This window comes from Homo sapiens, chromosome 5 (assembly GCF_000001405.40).
Source record: "Homo sapiens chromosome 5, GRCh38.p14 Primary Assembly".
NCBI classification, from domain to species: Eukaryota; Metazoa; Chordata; class Mammalia; order Primates; family Hominidae; genus Homo; species Homo sapiens.
The window spans coordinates 17,378,347-17,400,230 of NC_000005.10; the positions used below are offsets into that span (position 1 = coordinate 17,378,347).

At 41.9% G+C, this 21,884-nt stretch overlaps 1 long non-coding RNA gene across 1 annotated transcript; it reads right to left on the reverse strand.

Annotated features, from left to right (window-relative positions):
• Positions 1-559: 559 nt before the first annotated feature.
• LINC02111 (long intergenic non-protein coding RNA 2111) lies at positions 560-8,964 on the reverse strand. Its single transcript, NR_033975.1, has 3 exons — positions 8,856-8,964; positions 6,497-7,094; positions 560-2,164 (listed from the first exon to the last, which is right to left on the reverse strand). It is a non-coding gene; the product is annotated as a long intergenic non-protein coding RNA 2111 (long non-coding RNA).
• Between the last annotated feature and the right edge of the window lie 12,920 nt (positions 8,965-21,884).

Below are 21,884 nucleotides of genomic sequence, written 5' to 3' on the forward strand. Positions count from 1 at the left end.
TTCATCTTACTTATTTAGTTACTACAAAATTGACTAAAGTAAGTAGAGATATTCTGTTCTCAGTCATATTCATGTGTTCTAGCTGGAGTCACTGCAAAATCCTTGTTTACATTTTTCTTGGAAACTCTTGATATGGCTGGTTGCAAAACCACTGTGGAATGCAATAAAACATGGAAATGAAGACACTAGTGGGAAATGGACTTGTAGTTTATGATGTTGTTTTCTTCTGACAAGAATACACGTATAGATAGATTTATTTTTATAAGACTAACGTATTTTTTCTAAGCTGCTTTGTTCTAAATAGAACTGTCGCTCCTACTTTTTTTCCCCCAAATCTGAACTGAGTATGAAAGAACAGAACTATTTTGAAAAGATTTACTGACTCACCGGTGTATCCGCAGTAGAGATAGCAGACGCCAAAGACATCCACTGGGGAAAACCTGTGAAAATTCATAAGGTCACAAGTCTTTGTGCAGATTCTCTTGGGTTGCAGAGAGGAGAGATTTGGAATTCTCTTTGAAAGTACAGCTTAGTCATAGATCACAAGCACCAGCAAGACTAATATTTTAAATTATATGTTTATTCTTGATACTGAATGATTATTCTGCACCTAGGGAATTAATGTCTTTGCAGTCATTTAAAAATACTTGACAGTAACAGACCCTTCTCTACCAAATGATCACGAGGGTTAGATATTGGGGGGTTGAAAGTATAGCTCATTTTTGCAGATTCTTGTGTGTTTGAGGACCTATTTCTAAGAATTACGCTTTCCACATAATTCAAGCCCTAGTCAAGCTTTTCCATTCTGATAGCTTTCAGTTCAGATGTTCCTCATTTTATGCAGTAGCGCTCCTTTGAAAATGCAACTAAGCTAGACCATCTTTTAAATGTACTGAAAGCACTGGCTGTAATAAATCACGAAAAGCGATATCTTCTCCAAACTGAATCACTACCACTAATGTAGCTGACTTTTAAATTTGAATTCCCTGAGGTTTGGCTTAAAGCTTGGCTTTGGGCCAAGCTGCCATTAGGAGATTGTGCGGCTAACTCCAATACACTCTGTGTAATTGCCCTCAGGCTTCTAAATGGTCCCAACTAAAGGGTGAGACACATTTTTTATATAATTTTGTAGTCAACAAAGACACAGTATGGAAATTGTATTACAATTTCCACTTTACATTAGCTGTTGCTGCTTGTGTGCATATAAGAAAAGTAATAATAAAGGTATAATTAAATTGGAGAGAAGAGTGTATTTCTATCCTGTTGGTGCTTATCCTATTGTAGAGAAAGTGAGAATAAGATATAATCTGGTAATGTGGCCACATGGGTCATGACTCTTTGACCACATATACATTATATGCTTGAGGCCACGTTTCTCATCCATTTTCCCTGTTCACTGTCAAATGGAACAATTTATGAACGATGTCTAAGAGCTGGTGGAAGGAATGTATTTATTACAGGGTCTCTGCATCTTAGTTCCTGCTATATGGTTTTGTGGCTCATAAAAGAATGCAGACTTGCCCAAAATATCATTTGACTGTAGGTGATGACTGTCAGTACTACTCTTAGAACTAAGGGGCTTTCTCCTGTTTCCCTGGAATGTGGACAAATTATTTCCCACTGAGAGCTAAACTTTGAAATCATTTCATATGAGATCAGAACTCTGAAAAAACACAGAACTCTTCAAAAAGAAAAAATTACACAGAACTCTCAAGAAAGAAAAAAAATGGCCGTTAGGACTTTCTAACCCAGTGAAAACTGTCTTTCATTAGCTGTGTTACTACCATCATCCTGAATGGAGGTGGAGCCCACTCAGAAGCTTGACTAAAAGGAGAGTCACAGGCAGACATGGTATTACCCGTCTTAGCCCTCCGTCTTAGCCCTCTCTGGGGGAAGTTAGTTTAGCCAAGAAACCTCAAATATTAAGGACTCCAACTGATGCCACTGTCTCTGTTCTAGAGACTGTAGCTCAATAACATGACATTTCCAGTTCATCGTATTCATTCTGTTCTGATTCCAGTTTCACTAGGCTGCATACTGAAGCTAGCTCTTCCTTTCTTTTACAGGTATACACCCATTTCTCAGTTCAGTGAATCAACTGGATGTTGCCGTATGTTGGAAGACATACCTTCATCTTACATCCTTGATTTCTGTGAATTCGCACCTGAAAGACAACAGATCTCATATCAAGCTTACTGAAAACAACAACAAAAAACCCCATAAAACTTTCAAATACCAAGTTTTCTTTGTTCAGCCAATGAGTATTCATTGTGCACCCATGAGGGGCTAATGCCACTCTGCAAGGCCTTTTGAGAGAGGGCAGAGGATGCCTGGCTCAGGGCCACTTTCCACTTAGAAATATCTACAGGCTTTTTTCTCTGTTCCCTCCTCCACTTGAGCCTTTCTCAGTGTCTGATGTGGCACTGTTGTCACCAGATGGTCACTCAACCTTTCAAAAGCTTTGCTAATTTTCACTAGCTTCCTGCCTGGCAAAAATGGGAGAAAATTAAGTTCTGCTTTGCAGATGCGGCTTGTGAAAACCATTCATTGTGGCATTCATTGCAGCCACCCTTCATGATCACTCCTGGGGCTGTCCTTTCTTTGGTGGAAGGCTTTTGGATTTAGGGAAAGTGCCTTAGCACACAGCAGCGTTTTCACTAACAATTGGTTGTAAAATCTTGGGGTCACTCTCGAGATGGAAGAAGTCTGAGAGATTATCTGGTGTAACATTCATGTTTCCAAAAGGAAACTGAGATCCAAAAAGCCAAATCCTTTGGCCAAAAACACATGGCCTAATTTTACTCACTTTCTGTGATTTGGGGCTAGTTTCCAAAAGTCTTCAGCACTGTGTTTTTTTCTTTTTTTCTTTTGCTCATGGATACTTCTGACAGTCATTCTTGTACTCCTCAAGTTATTAAGGTTCAATGTAGTCAAATTCAACTTTACTCAGATTCCACTGGAGGGTAGGTCATACAATTGTAAAGAAGCAGACAGGTTGTGTTGCAGGACATACCAAGATTGTTTAGTTCTGATTAATACTAAAAATCCAGCTGGGTGCAGTGGTTTATGCCTGGAATTCCAGCACTTTGGGAGGCCGAGGCGGGTGGATAACTTGAGGTCAGGAGTTTGAGACCAGCCTGGCCAACATGGTATGAAACCCTGTCTCTACTAAAAATACAAAAATTAGCCAGGTGTGGTGGCACATGGCTCTAATCCCAGCTACTCACGAGGCTGAGGCATGAGAATCGCTTGAACCTGGGAGGCAGAGGTTGTAGTGAGCTGAGATCATGCCACTGCACTCCAGCGTGGGCGACAGTATAAAACTATGTCTCCGCACCCCCCCGCCAAAAAAAAACCATTGAGGCAGCTGCCTCAGCAGGAAGACATGTGGCTCTGCCCCTGTTGTTTCTAGGACCCTGAGCATTTGGTGGCATTGATTTGTCTTCCAGTGTTATTTGTTTTATTCATCTTTGTTGTAGACAAGTCGTGACCAAGATCCTCTAAGAGACAGCTGTGGTAGGCAGGCTTCTCAGATGGCCCATGATGAACACCACTGCCTGGTTTGATGGCCATGTGCTATTCTCTCCCCTTGAACATGGGTTAAGCCTAGTGACCTGCTTGTAACCAACCAACTCCAGCTAAGCTGAAGGGATGCCACAGTTTTCAAGCTTCAAGGATTAGCTTACAAAAGACTGTGACTTCCTTTTTGCTGATGGACTCTCTTTATTGCCTTCTTGGCTTGAAGACTTTGAGGAAGCAAGCTGCCATGATGAAGAAGCCAACATGACAAGGAACTTCTGAGGGTGGCTGCCAGCCAACAGCAGCAAGGAACTGAGACTATAAGTTCAACTGTCTGAGAGGAACTGAATCCTGAAAACAGTCTCATGAGCTTGGAAGCAAGTCTTCCCCAGTTGAGCCATAAGATGGCTACAGCCCAGCTCACACCTTGATTGCAGCCTGCGGAGAGACCCCGCAGTGGAAGATGCAGTTACACCCTTCCCAGCTCCCTGACTTACAGAAGCTATGAGATAATAAACATGTGTTGGTTTAAGCTGCCACATTTGAAGAAATGTGTTATGTAGCAATAGATAACTAATATGATAGGAAAAAAGGTAAGACAAGGTTGTAAGCATAAGTTTAAGTGCATTGCCAGCCATACTAATTTTTGCATCACAAATGACCTGAATTTGACAATTTCAAAATGTAAAGCATTTTGAATGAAAGTGCATTCAGACAAGAACATGTGAGAGTCCTCTGTATCTTTTAAATCCACAGAGGCAATGAAGCAGCACTCGTGACTTAATATGCAATTTGAATTGCACCAGACTTTTCAGATGAAAGCAATTGAAAAATGTGGAGGGAAGATGAAGTGATAATTGCCATTTTCCTTTTAATACTTACACAAATCATGACAGAAACTATTTATTGGACACCTGATAATAATAATTTGCAGCTTATTTCAAGGAATTCTCTCACCAACTCTATGATGGAGGTAGATTATCCCAATTTTTCAGGTGAGAAAAAAATGCATTGGTGAGTTTCCCAACCCTTACTTGGTGACAGCGATGATGTTGGGACCCAGTGTGTCTCACTTTAAAGGCTGTGTTCATAGTTTTCAAGCTTAAAAAGTTGTCTGAAGTGGCTGGGTGCGGTGGCTCATGCCTGTAATCCCAGCACTTTGGGAGGCTGAGGCGGGTGAATCACTTGAGGTCAGGAGTTCAAGACCAGCCTGGCAAACATGGTGAAGTCCTGTCTCTATCAAAAATACAAAAATTAGCTGGCGTCGTGGCACACGCCTGTAATCCCAGCTACTCAGGAGGCTGAGGCAGGAGAATTGCTTGAACCCAGGAGGTAGAGGTTGCAGTGAGCTGAGATTGTGCCACTGCACTCCAGCCTGGGCAATAGAGTGAGACTCTAACTCGGAAAAAAAAAAAGTTGTCTGAAGTGACAACTATTCCTCTCCTCTGCTTTGTTCAACCAATGGTAGCAGGTCATTACAAAAGCTACCTTTATTTTGTTAAAAAAACAAAACAAAATGAATTTTCTGAGTCTAAAAGCCACTCTTTTTCCAAGGATATATTTGCAATTAATCATATTCTGAGTTGCGATTTTTTAAACGCTTGCCCTCTGTGTCAGTTTTATTATTACTTAGGCTTTTTTCATCCTGCAGATTTTTGTGTTGTATTCACAATTAAATTAGTTTTTTTTTTTTGAGGGCAGGAATAGTTTTTTAATACTTTCATGTCTCCAGCCACATTTGTCACTGTATTTTGCAAATAATAACCATCTGGTAAATCTTTTTTGATGAATTTGATTAACTCTGAAATGAAAACGGTAATGACCTGAGGGATTGTTTCTTTCTAGGAAACTGTCAGCCTCGTCTAAGGGACCAGAGCTGCCAGGAAAGAACCATGATCAGTGTTGTTCAGAGAACCAGGAGAAATTGCTGCAAGATCAGTCTTACGAATTCTCTCTGCTGCAGCTTTGCTCCTGGACCACTTCTGAGAGGGATCATGGGTAAATCAGGATGATTAAACATCTGGGTTTGCCTGGGACTGATGGGTCTTCACTACAGTCTCAGGCAAATGAGGATGAAATGCTCTTCCTAGCAAGCATGTGCATTTCGTGGGAAGGGATGTGCTTTTGCATCTTTGTGTGGCTTGTTTTTTCTATGACTTTAAACCTAACCAACCAACCGACCAACTGATCAATCAACCAAACAACCAACTTCTGGGTGTCTTAAAAGGTGTACTGGAGCCTACTGTTTCATAAGTGTTGTATGTTTTCTATCGTAAATGTTAGCTAGATTTAAACAGCAGTTTTAGTACGGAAGATCTAGTGGTATTTTGGAGGTCACTATCATCAATATTTAGCTGTAATGTGCAGACAAGGCTCCTGGGTCTGTTCCATGTCACAGATCTCCTTTGAAGTCCTGGAGAGTTTTGCCCACTGAGCCACTATGCAGGGGACAGACAGGAATAAAGCTGGTTATTAGCATGCACTCCAGGTCCAAGAGAGCTGTATCAAAAGCTCACACACCAGGCTATTTAATTTGTTGGCTGCTCAGTGGAAAGAGGCCTGCTGAGCAGGCTGGGTTGGAAGAATTAAATGGAGAGAAATATAAACCAGTATAATTCACACTACTGTTTCTTGGCTGCACTCACATGTGGATAAAAAATTTTTTCCTACCCTAGAGCTGGCATATTTGTTTTGCCACTTTGAGCTAGTACCCTGGCAGCTGAAAGTTGGTGGAGAAAATCACACAACTGAGCTGACTGCTTTTTAACTTTTGGTAATTTTGAACTTCCATTTGTCATTGCCTGGTAGTTGGATTGTGTTTCTCTAGTAGGTGGTCTTTCCCGAACTTTCTTCTTGCCCTCAAACCACACATATCCTTTCCTTCAGCAGACAATCTTGCCTCCTTCTTCAAGGAGATAAACAAATAGGTCATCAGCTTTGGTCCTATAACTTGTCACCACCAACTACAACAGTCTACCTCTACCTTCTGCCACGTGTGCCTCTCCAGCTCGGTTATGAGGGAAGAACTGTTCCTCCTCTGCCAGGATGAACCATCTTGTGCATGCTTCGTATACTCCTTGGTTCTAGGCAGGCAGCTTCTGAATTGGCCTTCAGCAATCCCCATCTCCTCCTATTTATGCCCTTCTGCAATCTCCTTACTTAGAGTGTGGGACTATTGACTTGCTTCTAATGAGAAGAATATGGCAAAAATGATAGGCTGTCACTTCCAAGATCAGGTTATAGAAGACTGTCACTTTCATCTTGCTTGTACTCTGTCACCAGCTGGCTCTGATGAAGCACCTCCCATGTTGCAAGCTGCCTTATGGAGAGGTCCTTATGGCAAGGAACTCAGGGCAGCCTTGGGCTGACAAGAACAATAAACAGAGGTCCTCAATTCAATAGCCCACGAGGAGTTTGCGTCCTGCCAACAACCATCTAGGGTGGCTGAATGTACATCCTTTGCCAGTTAAGCCTTGAGATGATGGTAGCCTCAGGTGACACCTTGATTTCAGCCTGTGAGAGACCCTGAGCCAGCAGGCCCGCCTAAGTGGCACCCAGATTCCTGGCACACAGACCTACGAGATAATAAATGTTGACTTAAATCAACTTGTTTTACACATCAATAGATACCTAACAGATCTGAAAGTTTTCACACCTATATTTGATCCTCGATTCAGGATGAATACCTGCAGAAATACAGCTTGCTTTCTATCTCTAAAGTGGTGCTGTCCAATAAAATATATAATGAGCCACAAATGTGAACCATATATTTTTCAGCCACATTAAAAAAAGTAAAAAGAAACAGGTGAAATTAATTTAAATAATGTATTTTATTTCATCCATATGTCAAAACTACATTGTTTAATTATGTAATTCATATACCACATGATTAAAGAGATAATTTAGATATATATTTTTTGGACTGAGTCTTTGAAAACCCATGTTTATATTACACTGGCAGACATCTCCATTCAGACTAGCCACCCAATGGACCACCTGTGGCTAGCAGCTACCATACTGGACAGCTCAGCTTGAAAGAGAAAAACCTGGCCAGGCGCAATGGCTCACGCCTGTAATCCAGCACTTTGGGAAGCCGAGGCAGGAGGATCAACTGAGGTCAGGAGTTCGAGACCAGCCTGGCCAACATAGTGAAACCCCATCTCTACTAAAAACACAAAAATTAGCTGGGCGTGGTGGTGCATGCCTGTAGTCCCATCTACTCCGGGAAGAGGCTGAGGCAGGAGTATTGCTTGAACCCAGGAGGAGGAGGTTGCAGTGAGCTGAGGTCGTACCACTGCACTCCAGCCTGGGCGACAAGAACGAAATTCCGTCTCAAAAACAAACAAAACCTCAGTTTGCTCAAAAAACAATTTCTCTTCAAACATTTTTTTTCTGTTTTATTTATTTATTTTTTTGAGAAAGAGTCTAGCTCTGTCACCCAGGCTGGAGTGCAGTGGCGCCATCTCAGCTCACTTCAATCTGCCACCTGGGTTCAAGCGATTCTCCTGTCTCAGCCTCCCAAAGGTCTGGGATTACAGGCGCATGCCACCACACCCAACTAATTTTGTGTTTTTATTACAGACAGGGTTTCACCATGTTGGCCAGCCTGGATTCGAGCTCCTGACTTCAGGTGATCTGCCCGCCCTGGCCTCCAAAAGTGCTGGAATTACAGGCGTGAGCCACTGCACCTGCCTTTTTTTTTTTTTTTCTGTTTTAAAAAAGGTCTCTTTTGCTGGGCACAGTGGCTCACACCTGTAATCCTAGCACATTGGGGAGGCCAAGGCGGGAGGATCACTTGAGTCCATGAGCTAGAGACCAGTCTGGGCAACATAGTGAGACCCCATCTCGAAAGAAAGAAAGGAAGAAAGGAGGGAGGGAGGGAAGGAAGGAAGGAAAGAAGGAAGGAAGGAAGAAGGGAAAAGTATCTTTTGAGAATTTTCCAACCAGTTGAATTTGCTTCTGTGGCCTCCCCGGGTGCCCTGTAGCCGTGTGGACAAAACCAGCATGGCGTCGAGGGAAGCGCTAGTCCCCTAAACCCCACATGGTCTCCAGAGGCTGGCTTCTGGGAAATGCCTCATTCTGTTGGTGTGCGGGTTTCCCACTATAGTCACTGTGCCCAAGCTCCCCCACGCCTGCTCTCTCAGCACAGGTCTGCCCTGCCCTTGGTTGTCGGGAGCTCTGCCATTTCCCCATCGGTTTCCCCCTAGTTCCGCTGATTCCCCGGGACTTGGAAGACTCCTCCACTGGCTCTCAGCTTTGGGCTGTCCTTCCTGTGCCTCTGCTACGGGGTCTCCTGGCCCCACACTTTGGTGACCCTCGGCAGGCATACAACTTACTAATTTTCTGTTCTTTTCCTCCTCAGGGCCTATGAGAAATTTTCTGGGTCTTCTGCAGGCCTCACTGGAAATGAGGGGGCCTGGGGTGGGGACCTCCCAGCCCTTCTGCGCTTGGCCCCCGCCCCATCCTGTTCTTCTGGAGCTGCTCCGTGTTGGGCAGGCAGTCTGGGAAGCTGCCTCGCCTTAGGATTCCAAATGGAAACAGCTTTCTGCCTTTGGATTCTCATACATATGATGGAGATTTCTTTCCTACCCCTCACATCCATCAGCCTGGATTATCAACCACGGTCTCTCCTTTTCCCCCAACCTGCTGAAACAATCAGCAGTATCTGATTTTTTTTTCTCTTTCCAGGCTCTTAACTACAGCAAAATAAGAAACTGAAACAAGCAAACAAAAAGGCGTGGGCAGTGTTAATTCCTTTCGCCAGTGTTAGGAGCTATCCTGCAGCCTTCCTTATTCCAATGTTAACTGAGACAGACTCTTTGCCTAGGTATCCAACCTCTGTCTTCATCTTCCTATCAAAGCCCGCTTAGTTTTGAGAGCAATACTTTTCCCTCAACTAGTTCTAAGCTTTTGCTAGTTTAAAAGCACTTTGGTGTAAGATCAACATGAAAGTCATGTTAAAAAGAAAAATCATCATTCACCACTTCAACTGACCCCATGTGTTGTTAGTCTGGGCCTGACCCCCCAATGAATGTCACTGAGCTAGTGGGAGAAGAGAAGCATACCTCATTAAAAGTATGTAAAGATATTATTCTCTCCCTCTGCCACCCTGGCATAGCCCCCAATGCAGTCTATCCCTTTCTGCAGGATTTTTTTTTAGACCGAGTTTCACTCTTGTCACCCAGGCTGGAGTGCAGTGGCATGATCTTGGCTCACTGCAACCTCTACCTCCCAGGTTCAAGTGATTCTCCTGCCTCAGCCTCCCAACTAGCTGGAATTACAGGTGTGCACCACCATGCCTGGTTAATTTTGTAGTTTTAGTAGAGATGGAGTTTCATCATGTTGGCCAAGCTGGTCTGGAACTCCTGACCTCAGGTGATCTGCCCCCCTAGGCCTCCTAAATTGCTGGGATTACAGGCATAAGCCACCACACCTGGCCATTTTTAAAATTATTATTATTATTTTTGAGACAAGATCTCACTCTGTCACCCAAGCTGGAGTGCAGTGGTGCGATCTCGGCTCACTGCAGCTTCAACCTCCCAGGTTCAAGAGATTGTCCCACCTCAGTCTCCCAAGTAGCTGAGATTACAGGCACGCACCACCACACCCAGCTAATTTATATATTTTTCTGTAGAGACAGCGTTTCACCATGTTGGCCAAGCTGGTCTGGAACTCCTGACCTCAAGTGATCCATCCGCTTCAGCCTCCCAAAGTGCTGGAATGACCAGAGTGAGCCACCGTGCCTGACCTCTGCAGGATTATTTACCACTAGCTTGAAAACAGGCTGCAGCAGGAATGGCCACATTCTGTAATAAAACTCTCCCTTTTCTCCCTAGATTTCTGGTTTTGTAGAGAGAGGTATGCCCAAGTACATTTTCTCACATCCTTTGCAGAGAGATGAGGCCGATGAGAAACAAATCCAAATCACTAGTGTTGCTTCTGGGAAAGCTATCTTAAAAATGATTACTCAGCTGGTAGCTGCCTTTTGCTGTCTCCCTCCTTTTGCATTTTTTCCTTATTTGGAATGTAGAAAGTGATGGCTGGAACTAGCAACCATCATGTGATCATGAGGCATCCTTGAGAATTGAAGCCTGGTGCTAAAAATGAGGTGACAGGGTAGAAGGAGTACAATATTGATGTCTAATGTCAGCTTAGATAGCCTAGATTTATTACCACAGGCCCTGGGATATCTATCTCTACATGTCATGTTATGTGAGAAAAATGAACTCTTGTCTGGTTGAAGCAATATTTCCATTTCTAGTAGTCAAATTCCTATCCTAGGCATGCTTACTTTAACTTCACTTTTACTGTTTCCAACCATTGCAACTTGGACTTTCCTCCTGTCACTTCTTTGAAACTGCTCTGTCAAGTTTTTTAAATTTTTTTTTATTATTTTATTTTATTTTTGAGACTGGTCTAGCTATGTCGCCCAGGCTGGAGTGGAGTGGCACCATCTCAGTTCACTGCAGCCTCCGCTTTCTGGGTTCAAGCCATTCTTCTGCCTCAGCCTCCCAAGTAGCTGGGATTACAGGTGCATGTCACCACACCTGGCTAATTTTTGTATTTTCAGTAAAGATGGGTTTCACTATGTTGGCCAGGCTGGTCTCAAACTCCTGACCTCAAATGATTTACCTGCCTCAGCCTCCCAAAGTGCTGGGATTACAGATGTGAGCCACCACACCTGGCCAACTTTTACTTAAAATAACTAGAAAAAAAAAAAAAAAAAAAAAAAAAGGAAAGCAAAGGAATTGCTGAACTTCAGAATAATTCTTCCCATTTTTTTTTTCTTAAAAACATCTGTACATTAAGAAAAAAAGATTTGGGGCCGAGCGCGGTGGCTCACGCCTGTAATCCCAGCACTTTGGGAGAGCAAGACGGGCGGATCACGAGGTCAGGAGATCGAGGCCATCCTGGCTAACACGGTGAAACCCCATCTCTACTAAAAACAAACAAAAAAAAAATTAGCCGGGCGTGGTGGCGGGCGCCTGTAGTCCCAGCTACTCAGGAGGCTGAGGCAGGAGAATGGCGTGAACCCCGGAGGCGGAGCTTGCAGTGAGCCGAGATCGCGCCACTGAACTCCAGCCTGGGCGACAGAGCGAGATTCCGTCTCATGCCTGTAATCCCAGCACTTTGGGAGGCCGAGACAGGCGGATCACGAGGTCAGGAAACCGAGACCATCCTGGCTAACACAGTGAAACCCTGTCTCTACTAAAAATAAAAAAAAAAAAAAAAAAAAAAAAAAAAAATTAGCCGGGCGTGGTGGCGGGCGCCTGTAGTCCCAGCTACTCGGGAGGCGGAGGCAGGAGAATGGCGTGAACCCCGGAGGCGGAGCTTGCAGTGAGCCGAGATCGCGCCACTGAACTCCAGCCTGGGCGACAGAGCGAGATTCCGTCTCATGCCTGTAATCCCAGCACTTTGGGAGGCCGAGACAGGCGGATCACGAGGTCAGGAAACCGAGACCATCCTGGCTAACACAGTGAAACCCTGTCTCTACTAAAAATAAAAAAAAAAAAAAAAAAAAAAAAAAAAAAAAAATTAGCCGGGCGTGGTGGCGGGCGCCTGTAGTCCCAGCTACTCGGGAGGCGGAGGCAGGAGAATGGCGTGAACTCGGGAGGCGGAGCTTGCAGTGAGAGGAGATCGCGCCACTGCACTCCAGCTTGGGTGACAGAGCGAGACTCCGTCTCAAAATAAATAAATAAATAAAAATAAAAAAAAAATAAAAAATAAAATAAAATAAAAAATAAAAAACACCTGACACTTCACAAGCACTCAAGAAGTGGTAGCCATTTATTTAAAAAAAGAAAAAGAAAAAGATTTGGAATCAGTTATATAAGTTGAAGTCATTGTTTTTTAAGCAATATCTTTACATTTTAGGCACTATTAATCATTCATTTATCCTTTGAGTTCTCTCTCATCTTCCGCTTTTTGATGGTTACATTATTATTGTCACATGCAATTCTATAGCATTGCATTCTGTTCTGTACCTGTTATTCTAAAATTGTTTTGCTTTAATTCCAAATTTAAACTCATTCTGAATTCACCCTTATCCTTTTATCATAACTTCTTTAATCCTTGGTAGAGATAAAGGTTTCTATTTCTTTCTTTAGCTGTCACTTAAAAAAATGACATTAGGGTACATTGCCTTCTTTTTGGTTCCTATGGGTGATTTTTTTTTTCTAGTTTCAGTATTTTTGTTTTGATTATTTTTGTTTCAGTATTATAAGATTCTATTTGTCAGATGTTTTTGCTTGCACATTACAGAAAATCAACTTAAGCCAAGTAAGGCATCTTACTTTCTTATGCAAAGGGAAACATTAAGGGGGCATTCTAGCTTCAGGGATGGCTGGATCCAGGAGAGTAAATGTTGTCACTAGGACTGTGTCTCTCCATGTCTGGGCTCCATTGGTGTTATTCTGAGGTACCTTCTATACTTGTGGTGACAATGATGTCTACCAGCATCACAGGTTTCCATTGTCATCACAGGCAGAGTAACAGACAACATGGGTTGCAGGACATATTTGGTCTCAGAATTAAAATCTTTTCATTGCATTTGAGAAATACAATGTTAGACATATAACTATGCAATTTTCTAGAATTGGCTATTAGTTATATATGGCCCTTTCCTCCCTATTGTGGTCCCATTTTGAATCTTTCAACCTTATTCCAATTCCTTATTTCTCATCTAGTTGACATGGATGGGAAATTGATCAGCCGCAAACCATTTCCTTGGGAGAGAGAAAGATATGATTATTTTATAAAAATATGCCAAATTTTCTTGATGATCTAACATCATGCTTACCTGACAGAAGGGCAGGGGGAAAGAGCTGGTACTCACCTTGACACCTGTCTGTACCCGATGAGGGGCAGCCTGACTGTGGGTGAATATCGTGCCGAGGGCTGAAGTAGTTTTTATTTTAATCATTTACAAAGAAAAAGCTTCCCAAAGAAATCAGAGATGTTTCTCAGGTGCTAGGTCTGCAGTCATGCTTCTGATCTGTTCAGCACCCATAAAAGGTGCCACAGGCTCCACTGCAAAGCAATGTGTAAGTTTTGGATTATGTGAGACCCTGAATGCAAATGGGGAACTCAGAGGATGGTGGAAAGCCAGTTCCATGTTGGCAGGAAAGTATTCTAGTGTTTTCCCCTCTAGATCTCCAACATGTTTATAGCACATAATAAGCACTAAATAGATATATATTAACTGATTTTGAGTAACCAGGTCATATGTAGAACAGTTAAACATAGACATAGAGGTAAAAGGAAAAAAATAAAAAGGCTGGGTGCGGAGGCTCATGCCTGTAATCCCAGCACTTTGGGAGGCCGAGGTGGGAGGATTGCTTGAGCCCAAGAGTTTGAGACCAGCCTAGGTAACATAGTGAAAAAATTAGCCAGGTGTGGTAGCACATGCCTGTAGTCCCAGTTACTTGGGAAGCTGAGGTGTGAGGATCATTTGAGCCAAGGAAGTCAAGGCTGCAGTGAGCCCGTGATCTTACCACTGTACTCCAGTCTGGGCAGTAGAGCGAGACCTTGTCTCAAAAAAAAAAGTAAAATTAAAAAATTTGACCTGAATGGCTAGCTACTTACTAAATTTAATCCTTGCACCCTGAAAAGACTTAGTACATGTTCCTTTATACCATTAACTGATATCCAAATAACTTGTAATAACTATCTTAATAATTCTACAGCAGCAATTTGAGTCTCCTTAAAAATTGTCAAGCATTTTCTTTTGTTAGTCTGTTCTGGGGTAATGAGTCACAAGTAGTAATTACTGGGTGGGAATTCATTTTTTTTTCTTTTTTCTTTTTAAATACAATGTTAAGCATGTTGTATTAATATTAAATAATTCTAAAGAGTGTTTCAATAATTTGGAAGTTATTAATGATTGGTGGATGAAAAGATTTTATCCAGTTGTCCAAGCATATGGCAAAAGAAAACTGGCTTAAGTTGTTGAATTTCTGTTTTCATTTTCCATTGAATTACTGTTTAAAAATGGAACTGGAGAACATGTAATTACTCCAATGGAATGATCATGGGACATCAAAAAACTTGTTGCCCTAGGTGGTTAACTGCATGACTAAGAGACAACAATGGGGTGGACAAGGTGAACCTTGTTCAGTAGTGATCTCAATTGCATTTTGGTTCTGTAAAGCGCAAATAGGTTAACTGAATACCAAAGAGTAGTGAACTGCCTATGATTTGCATCTTTATATGATGGCTAAGAATTCAAGAAATTGGAATATAGTATTTATAACACTCTGTGACCACGACCACAATGTCCCATCAATTTCCTAGACTTCTGAGTGTAGGAAAACAGAAAAGGCCATATTCTCAACTTATGTAATTGATAACTACTAATTTTCTAACAATTTTCCAATGATTGCTTGCTATAAAAATGTAAAATGGAGCCAGAAGCTTTAGCATATATTATTCACACTGTAATTTTGGTTTATTTCCTTCTAGACTTTTTTCCATATTTTTTAGAACAGTTGTAATCATGTTGTACATATAATCTACCCTTATTTTTTAAAACCTACTGTTATAAATGTTACTTATGTTTAAAATAGCAAAAAAAAAAAACTATCTTGAAGATATTGGTTATAAAGATGATATAATTTATTTTATAATTTCCATATGGCTGGCTATCTAGATTATCTATTTTTTATTTTTGCAATGAGACAGATATTGCTGTGCATTGATTTTTTGCACACATTTTTTTCCAGGATTTTGCCTGTTTTCTTAGAAGAACATTCTACAAGGAAAATTAATGGGTGGAAGTTTATAAACCTATTCATAATGACTCTTGAAGCAAATATTATTCAGGATCTTTTTTTTTTTTTTTTTTTTTTTTTTTTTGAGACCGTCTCACTCTGTTGCCCAGGCTGGAGTGCAGTGGCATGATCATGGCTAACGGCAACCTTTGCCTCCCTGGGCTCAGGTGATTCTCACACCTCAGTTTCCTGAGTAGCTGTGTCTACAGGTGTGTACCACTATGCTTTGCTAATTTTTGCATTTTTAGTAGGGACAAAGTTTTGCCATGTTGCCAAGGCTGGTCTTGAACTCCTGGCCTTAAGAGATCTGCTTACTTCAGCCTCCCAAAGTGCTAGGATTAAAGGCATGAGCCACCACACTTTGCCAGACCTATTTGTTTTCAAGTGACATTAACTAGCTTAAAAATAAAGGGAAAATTTATTAGAAGCAAACAATTATATCTTATGTAACAGGAGAAAGTGCATCTAGATGGCTAGAATCAGAGACTTAAGTCCACCAGAACTTTCTCTGACTCTAATTTCTTTACAAGGCTCAGCAGTCAGCCTCATTTCATTCATTTGCTGGCCGGAATTACTGCTCTAGAATTGAAGTAGTTTTTCCACACCTGGTGCCTCAGCTGGAATGTCTACAATGTCTGTGGGCTTGCCAGATCTCTCTCTCTCTCTCCATGTTTTCTCTCATCATTCTGTAGCCCAACTCAAGATTCTTTACATATTAGTTGTCTTCTAAAAGTGCAAAACATGGGAGATGCAAGATCCCTTAAGTCACACAACACTTCAACTCTGTTGCATTTGTCAAAGCAAGTCACAGGCTAGGCCAGATTCAAGGAGAGGGGGAATGGGCTTCACCATCTGATGGGAGGAGTGGCATGGATGATGGTTACTTTTATGTGTCAACTTGACTGGACCACAAGGTGCCCAGATATTTGTCTCTGCATGATTCTGGGTATGTCTATGAGGGGTTTCTGGATAAGATTAACATTTGAATCGGTAGATCACGTAAAATGAGTTGTCCTCTCTAATTTGTGTGGACCTCCTCCACTCAGTTGAAGGCCTGAACAGAACAAAGAAGCGGAGGTCAAGAGAGAACTCCTCCTGAACTGTGGGGTCAGGAAAGGCTGGGGTGCCGTGGAAATTAGCTTCAAAGGTTTTTCAAAGTTTATTGCTTGGTGTAGGTAATAGGGTCGATTCTCTGTAGAAGGACTTTTTCTTCTCTATATTCCTCCAACATAGTACGTTTTCCCCTGGTCTGGAGCAGGATGCTTTCTTAGTTTATGATGCAACGACTTCACAGTGGATGTCTGCTTTATTTCTTTTTGAAATTCCATGAACTTTGAAATGAGTTCTTTTTACTTTGAGTTCTTCATATACATGTAAACAAAATGTTTTCCTGAATCCAAACAACCAGAGCTTTAAATTTTGAATAACTGTGAGAAAAATTGAGTACTTGAGATTCAAAGAAAAACACAGGCAAAGTCTCTGACATCGTTCCCCATCCCAAAGCTAACTTTGATGGTAAGTCATTAAACCGAGATTCTCTCAGGACCTGGGGCAGAAAACTGCACTAGGATGTTTTTTGTTTGGTTCAGGTTGGGTAACATTGGCATGTGATAGAAGTTATCTTTTGAATTAGCTCAAGAATAAGAGGTTCACTTTTATGAGCAGGGAGTTTCAGTATGGTTTGTGTCATGAATAATCCTGCCTGACATGGACCATGACCCTTGAACATTCTGAAATGCAGGAAAATTCTAAGTCTTCATAAGATAAACAAGGAGCAGCATCTTGTTACTTTTTCTTTCCAATTTAAAGTATTATACTTCGGACTCTATGTTATACATAGAATTTTAAATGTGGGTTTATATTTAGACTTGAATATGGTAGAAAACAAGGCTTGATATGTTCTGCTTCATAATGACACATCTATATCTATCTATCTATCTCTCTATATATATTTTGTAATACACTTTTTATTTTGGAAAAATCTGGGGTTTACAGAAAAGTTCTAAAGATAGCACAGACAGTCCCTGTATAATTCTCTTGCAGCTTTGCTTTCCCTTCATGTTATCAGTTCACATTACTGTGGTGTATTTGTCAAAACTGAGTAACCACCATTGGTGCGTTACTAGTAGCTAAACTCCAGCCTATATTTAAGTTTCACTAGTTTTTTCCTAATGTCTTTTTCTATCCCAGGATCCTAACCAGGCTACCACGTTGCATTTAGTTGTCACATCTCCTTTGGTCTGTGACAGTTTCTCAGTCTTTTTTTTTTTTGAGCTGGAGTCTCACTCTGTCACCCAGGCTGGGGTGCAGTGTTGGAATCTTGGTTCACTGCAACCTCTGTCCCCCGGATTCAAGTGATTCTCCTGCTTCAGCCTCCCGAGTAGCTGGGATTATAGGCATGCACCACTACACCTGATTAATTTTTGTAATTTTTTTTGTTATTGTTTTTAGTAGATACAGGGTTTCATGATTTTGGCTAGGCTGCTCTTGAACTCCTGACCTCAGGTGATCCACCTGCCTTGGCCTTCCAAAGTGCTGGGATTACAGGCGTGAGCCAGCTCACCCAGCCTCAGTCTTTTCTTGTGTTTCATCATCTTGAAAGTTTTGAGAGTATTGGACAAGTGTGGTATAGACTATTCTTCAATTTTGGCTTGTCTGATGTTTTTCTTAAGATTAGATTCGGGTTATGGGTTTCGGGGTAGAGTAACACAGGGGCAAAACACCATTCTCATCACATCTTATCAGAGTTACATGACATACACGTGATTTATCACTAGCGATGTTGTCCTTGATCATTTGGGTAAGATCATGCTTACCAGCTGTGTACACTGTAAAGTTACTATGTTTCACTTTCTTTGAAGTGAGTCAGTATGTCCTGCCCACACTCAAGGGAGTGGGAGGGATGGAGCTTTACCCCTTGCTTATTTGGAATGCAAAATAATATTTTGGTAATGTTTTCAATTTCAGTGGACCAGTATTTTGTGTGTTTGAAGACAGGAAATAAATAAAGTCCTGGTACAAGCTCTTCCTTTTTGTTTCTGTTCTGAGTAAAGGGCTTGTGTCCAATGCCTTGCTGACTCTCCTGAATATTTTGTCTAAAACACCCAACAATGTTGACCTATGCAGGATTATGATGGAAGTAAGTAGAAAGAGGTTTGCATATTATTTTGAATGCATTTTCATCTTCAGATGAAGTAAAGATGAATCCCGTACTAGTTTGTTCTCACACTGCTATAAAGAAATATCTGAGACTGGGTAATTCATAAAGAAAAGAGGTTTAATTGGATCATGGTTCTGCAGGCTGTATAGGAAGCACAATGCTGGAATCTGCTCAGGTTCTGGGAAGGCCTCAGGAAACTTACAGTCATGGCAGAAGGTGAAGGAGAAGCAGGCTTGTCTTACATGGCTGGAGCAGGAGGAAGAGAGATGGGGGAGGTGCCACACACCATTAAAAAAACAGATCTTGTGATAATTCACTATCACCACAACAGCACCCAGTGGGATGGTGCTCAAGTATGAGAAACCACTCCCATGACCCAATCACCTCCCACCAGGCCCCACCTCCAACACCAGGGATTACAATTGAACATGAGATTTGGGTGGTGACACAGACTCAAACCATATCAAATTCTAAATATGGAAATGTAATAAACTCATTGATTTATTTTTTATTTTTGAGACGGTGTCTCACTCTGTTGTCCAGGCTGGAGTGCAGTGGTGCAATCTCGGCTCATTGCAACCTCCACCTCCTGAGTTCAAGCGATTCTCCTGCCTCAGCCTCCTGAGTAGCTGGGATTACAGGTATGCACCTGGCTAAATTTTGTATTTTAGTAGAGACAGGGTTTCACCCTGTTGGTCAGGCTGGTCTCAAACTCCTGACCTTGTGATCCAGCTGCCTCGGCCTCCCAAAGTGCTGGGATTACAGGCGTGAACCGCAGTGCCCGGCCAACTCATTGATTTTAAACCAAAGTTAGGGTTTGACAAACTCCATCTAGCCACACGGTTCTCTGTCTCAGTTTTAGCTTTGTCTTCCTATGCATGCTCAGTGATCAGCTGGCAAACAGGTTCCTAGCTGGATGAGCATTCTTGCCTCCTCCCTCAGACCTTAGCATGGACACCCAGGGTAGATATTAGGGGTTGAATTGTGTCCTTTCTCCCCCAAATTCATATGTTGAAGCCCTAAACCCCTGTACTTCAAAATGTGACCTTATGTGGAAATTGGGTCTTTGCAGGTTAGTTAAGATGAGGCCATTAAGGTGGACTCTAGTCCTAGGTGACTGTTGTCCTTAACAAAAGGGGCTATTTGGTGACATAGATTGGGCACACAGGAAGAACCTCATGTGAGGACGAAGGGAGAGATTAGGATGATACTTCTGTAAGGCAGGAGAATCGTTTGAACCCAGCATCAGATGTTTGGCAAGAGACATTGAGCAGGTTCTGTCTCACAGCCCTCAGAAGGAACCAACCCTGCCAGTACCTTGATCTTGGACCTCTATTCTCCAGGACTGTAAGACAACACATTTCTGTTGTTTAGGCCACCCAGTTTGTGGTACATTGTTACAGCATCACTAGGATTATCAGATAATGGAAGTTGAACTGAGCAACCCAGCTTTTGTGACCCCAAACATGGTTGGTGGTAGGGCTTTATCTTGGTCACAGGCTCTAGAAGAATCTGCACTTGTCATTTACTATAAGCCCTTCACAACTGGACTCTTCTACTCAATGCTTATTCAAGATTTTTTTTCAGGTGCTGATCTTATTGAAATTTGTAGTATTAATATTTTAGAACTGTATATAATGTATTTACCTTCCAAAATTTCCTTCAATGCCTGACAGCTTTCTATCTACTGACCCAATTGTGATGACAAACCAATGCTGGCTTTGGTAGTCAAATTCCTGACCACATGCTAATGGTTGACTCATTCAGTTTTTTGCCTGCAGATTTAGTCTCAACGAAATGAGCCACACTTTTTTTCTTACAAAGCAGCATTACCTTCTGGGGAGAATGAAATGTGGTTTTTCTTTGACAGATAAGTGGGAAAACCATCTGTGCATTTCCCGTCTGAATCAAGCTTAAGCCCCTCCCCTAGTCATCCAGGGCTGCATTAACCATGGACTACCGGTGCCCCAGCAAGGGGAGGCTGTGGATGTGGATAACTCCACACAGCTGTGCCTGGAGGCTGACGGACTATGGCAGATATTTCTCCACTTTATTCAGGGACCAGAATATGTTCACTTTGCTTGGAGGAACTGATTAATTAAGTGATGGACTGGAGAACAAAGAGGTAGCGGTTGATTATATTCATTAGAGGAAATAGAAAATTAACTCCTTAATTAAGGTATTATATTGTCATACTTCAATATCACATATTCTGCACTTCCTTAAAAGAGTTCAGTGTATTTCTTTTGCATGCCTGGTAATAACCTCAGGAAGCAGGACTGACTGAATATCATGATGTCTATTTAGCATTTAAAGGAACTGAAAAGTGGAAATGTACACGTCTCTTTCCCCCCTACTCTAAAGTTTAATTCAAATGCAATTGCAACCAACATTTCACTAGGAAGGTGGCTTGTACATTTGAATAGACAAATGGATATTTGGCACTTCTGTCCATTTTTCAACAAACTGTTGTCAAGTACAATTTTGGTAGCTTGAGGGTTGCAGAAGGTGCAACAGGTGGCTGCACCTCAGCTCTTCCTTCTCTAAAGGAAGAAATGCAAGACTGGGAAGATTGTTCTCTAACTGTGGCAGGTAAACACGGTCTGCTCCCAAAGTGAGTTGAGACCACTGGGGAATGGACTCTGTGCCCATGATTATAGAATTGAGATTACCAGTTGGGAAATTAGAGGCAACTTTCAGGTTTGTATAGCATATAGTTTGCTGAATCCAATTCCTATCTATCCTATATATTAGGATTTTCATTTTTAGAGCAAAAATTTGAGTTCGTCCCTCAAAATGCCTATTTCCTCTCTTTTTGGAGTTAATGTATTTTTAAGGAAGTGCTGCCAGCTCCAATTTCTACAACTGTCAATTCCTTATCTGCTATTTGGAAATCACTGCAGAGCCTGGATCATCGGAGGCAGTTTTGGGGCCATCTCCCATTCCCAGAATGGCATCAAACCTTAAATTGGAAGGTATCGAAGGAGGCGAAGAAACTATTTCCAGCAGTGAAGTGAACTAGGATTAAACAACTCCCCAACAAAACAAAAACTGAAAAAATGAGAACTGGGACCTAAATACCTCAAGGTGGTGAAATTGTCACTTATCAGAGCAGAACCAAACAAGACAGCCTTCAGCTAGAGCCAGCCTGAGAGCTGAAAGACCAGAAGTGAAGGGAAGGAAGCTTGGAGAAGGGGAGCAGAAACAGAATAAAATAAGTCAAAATAAAATAAAAGCAGCCTAGCCTAGTGGAAAGGTACAAGTGTGGTGGCTGATTGGCTGCAGATGGAGACTGTAATTTTCTTAGGCTATCAGTGACTAGCAGGCAGTGACAGGGAAGAGGGGGTGTCAGGTCTGAGGAGAAGAAAACCGGAACTATTTTGCTGTGTAGAAAGTCACCATGCTACACGTCATGGCCCACGAAGGGCTGATTATAT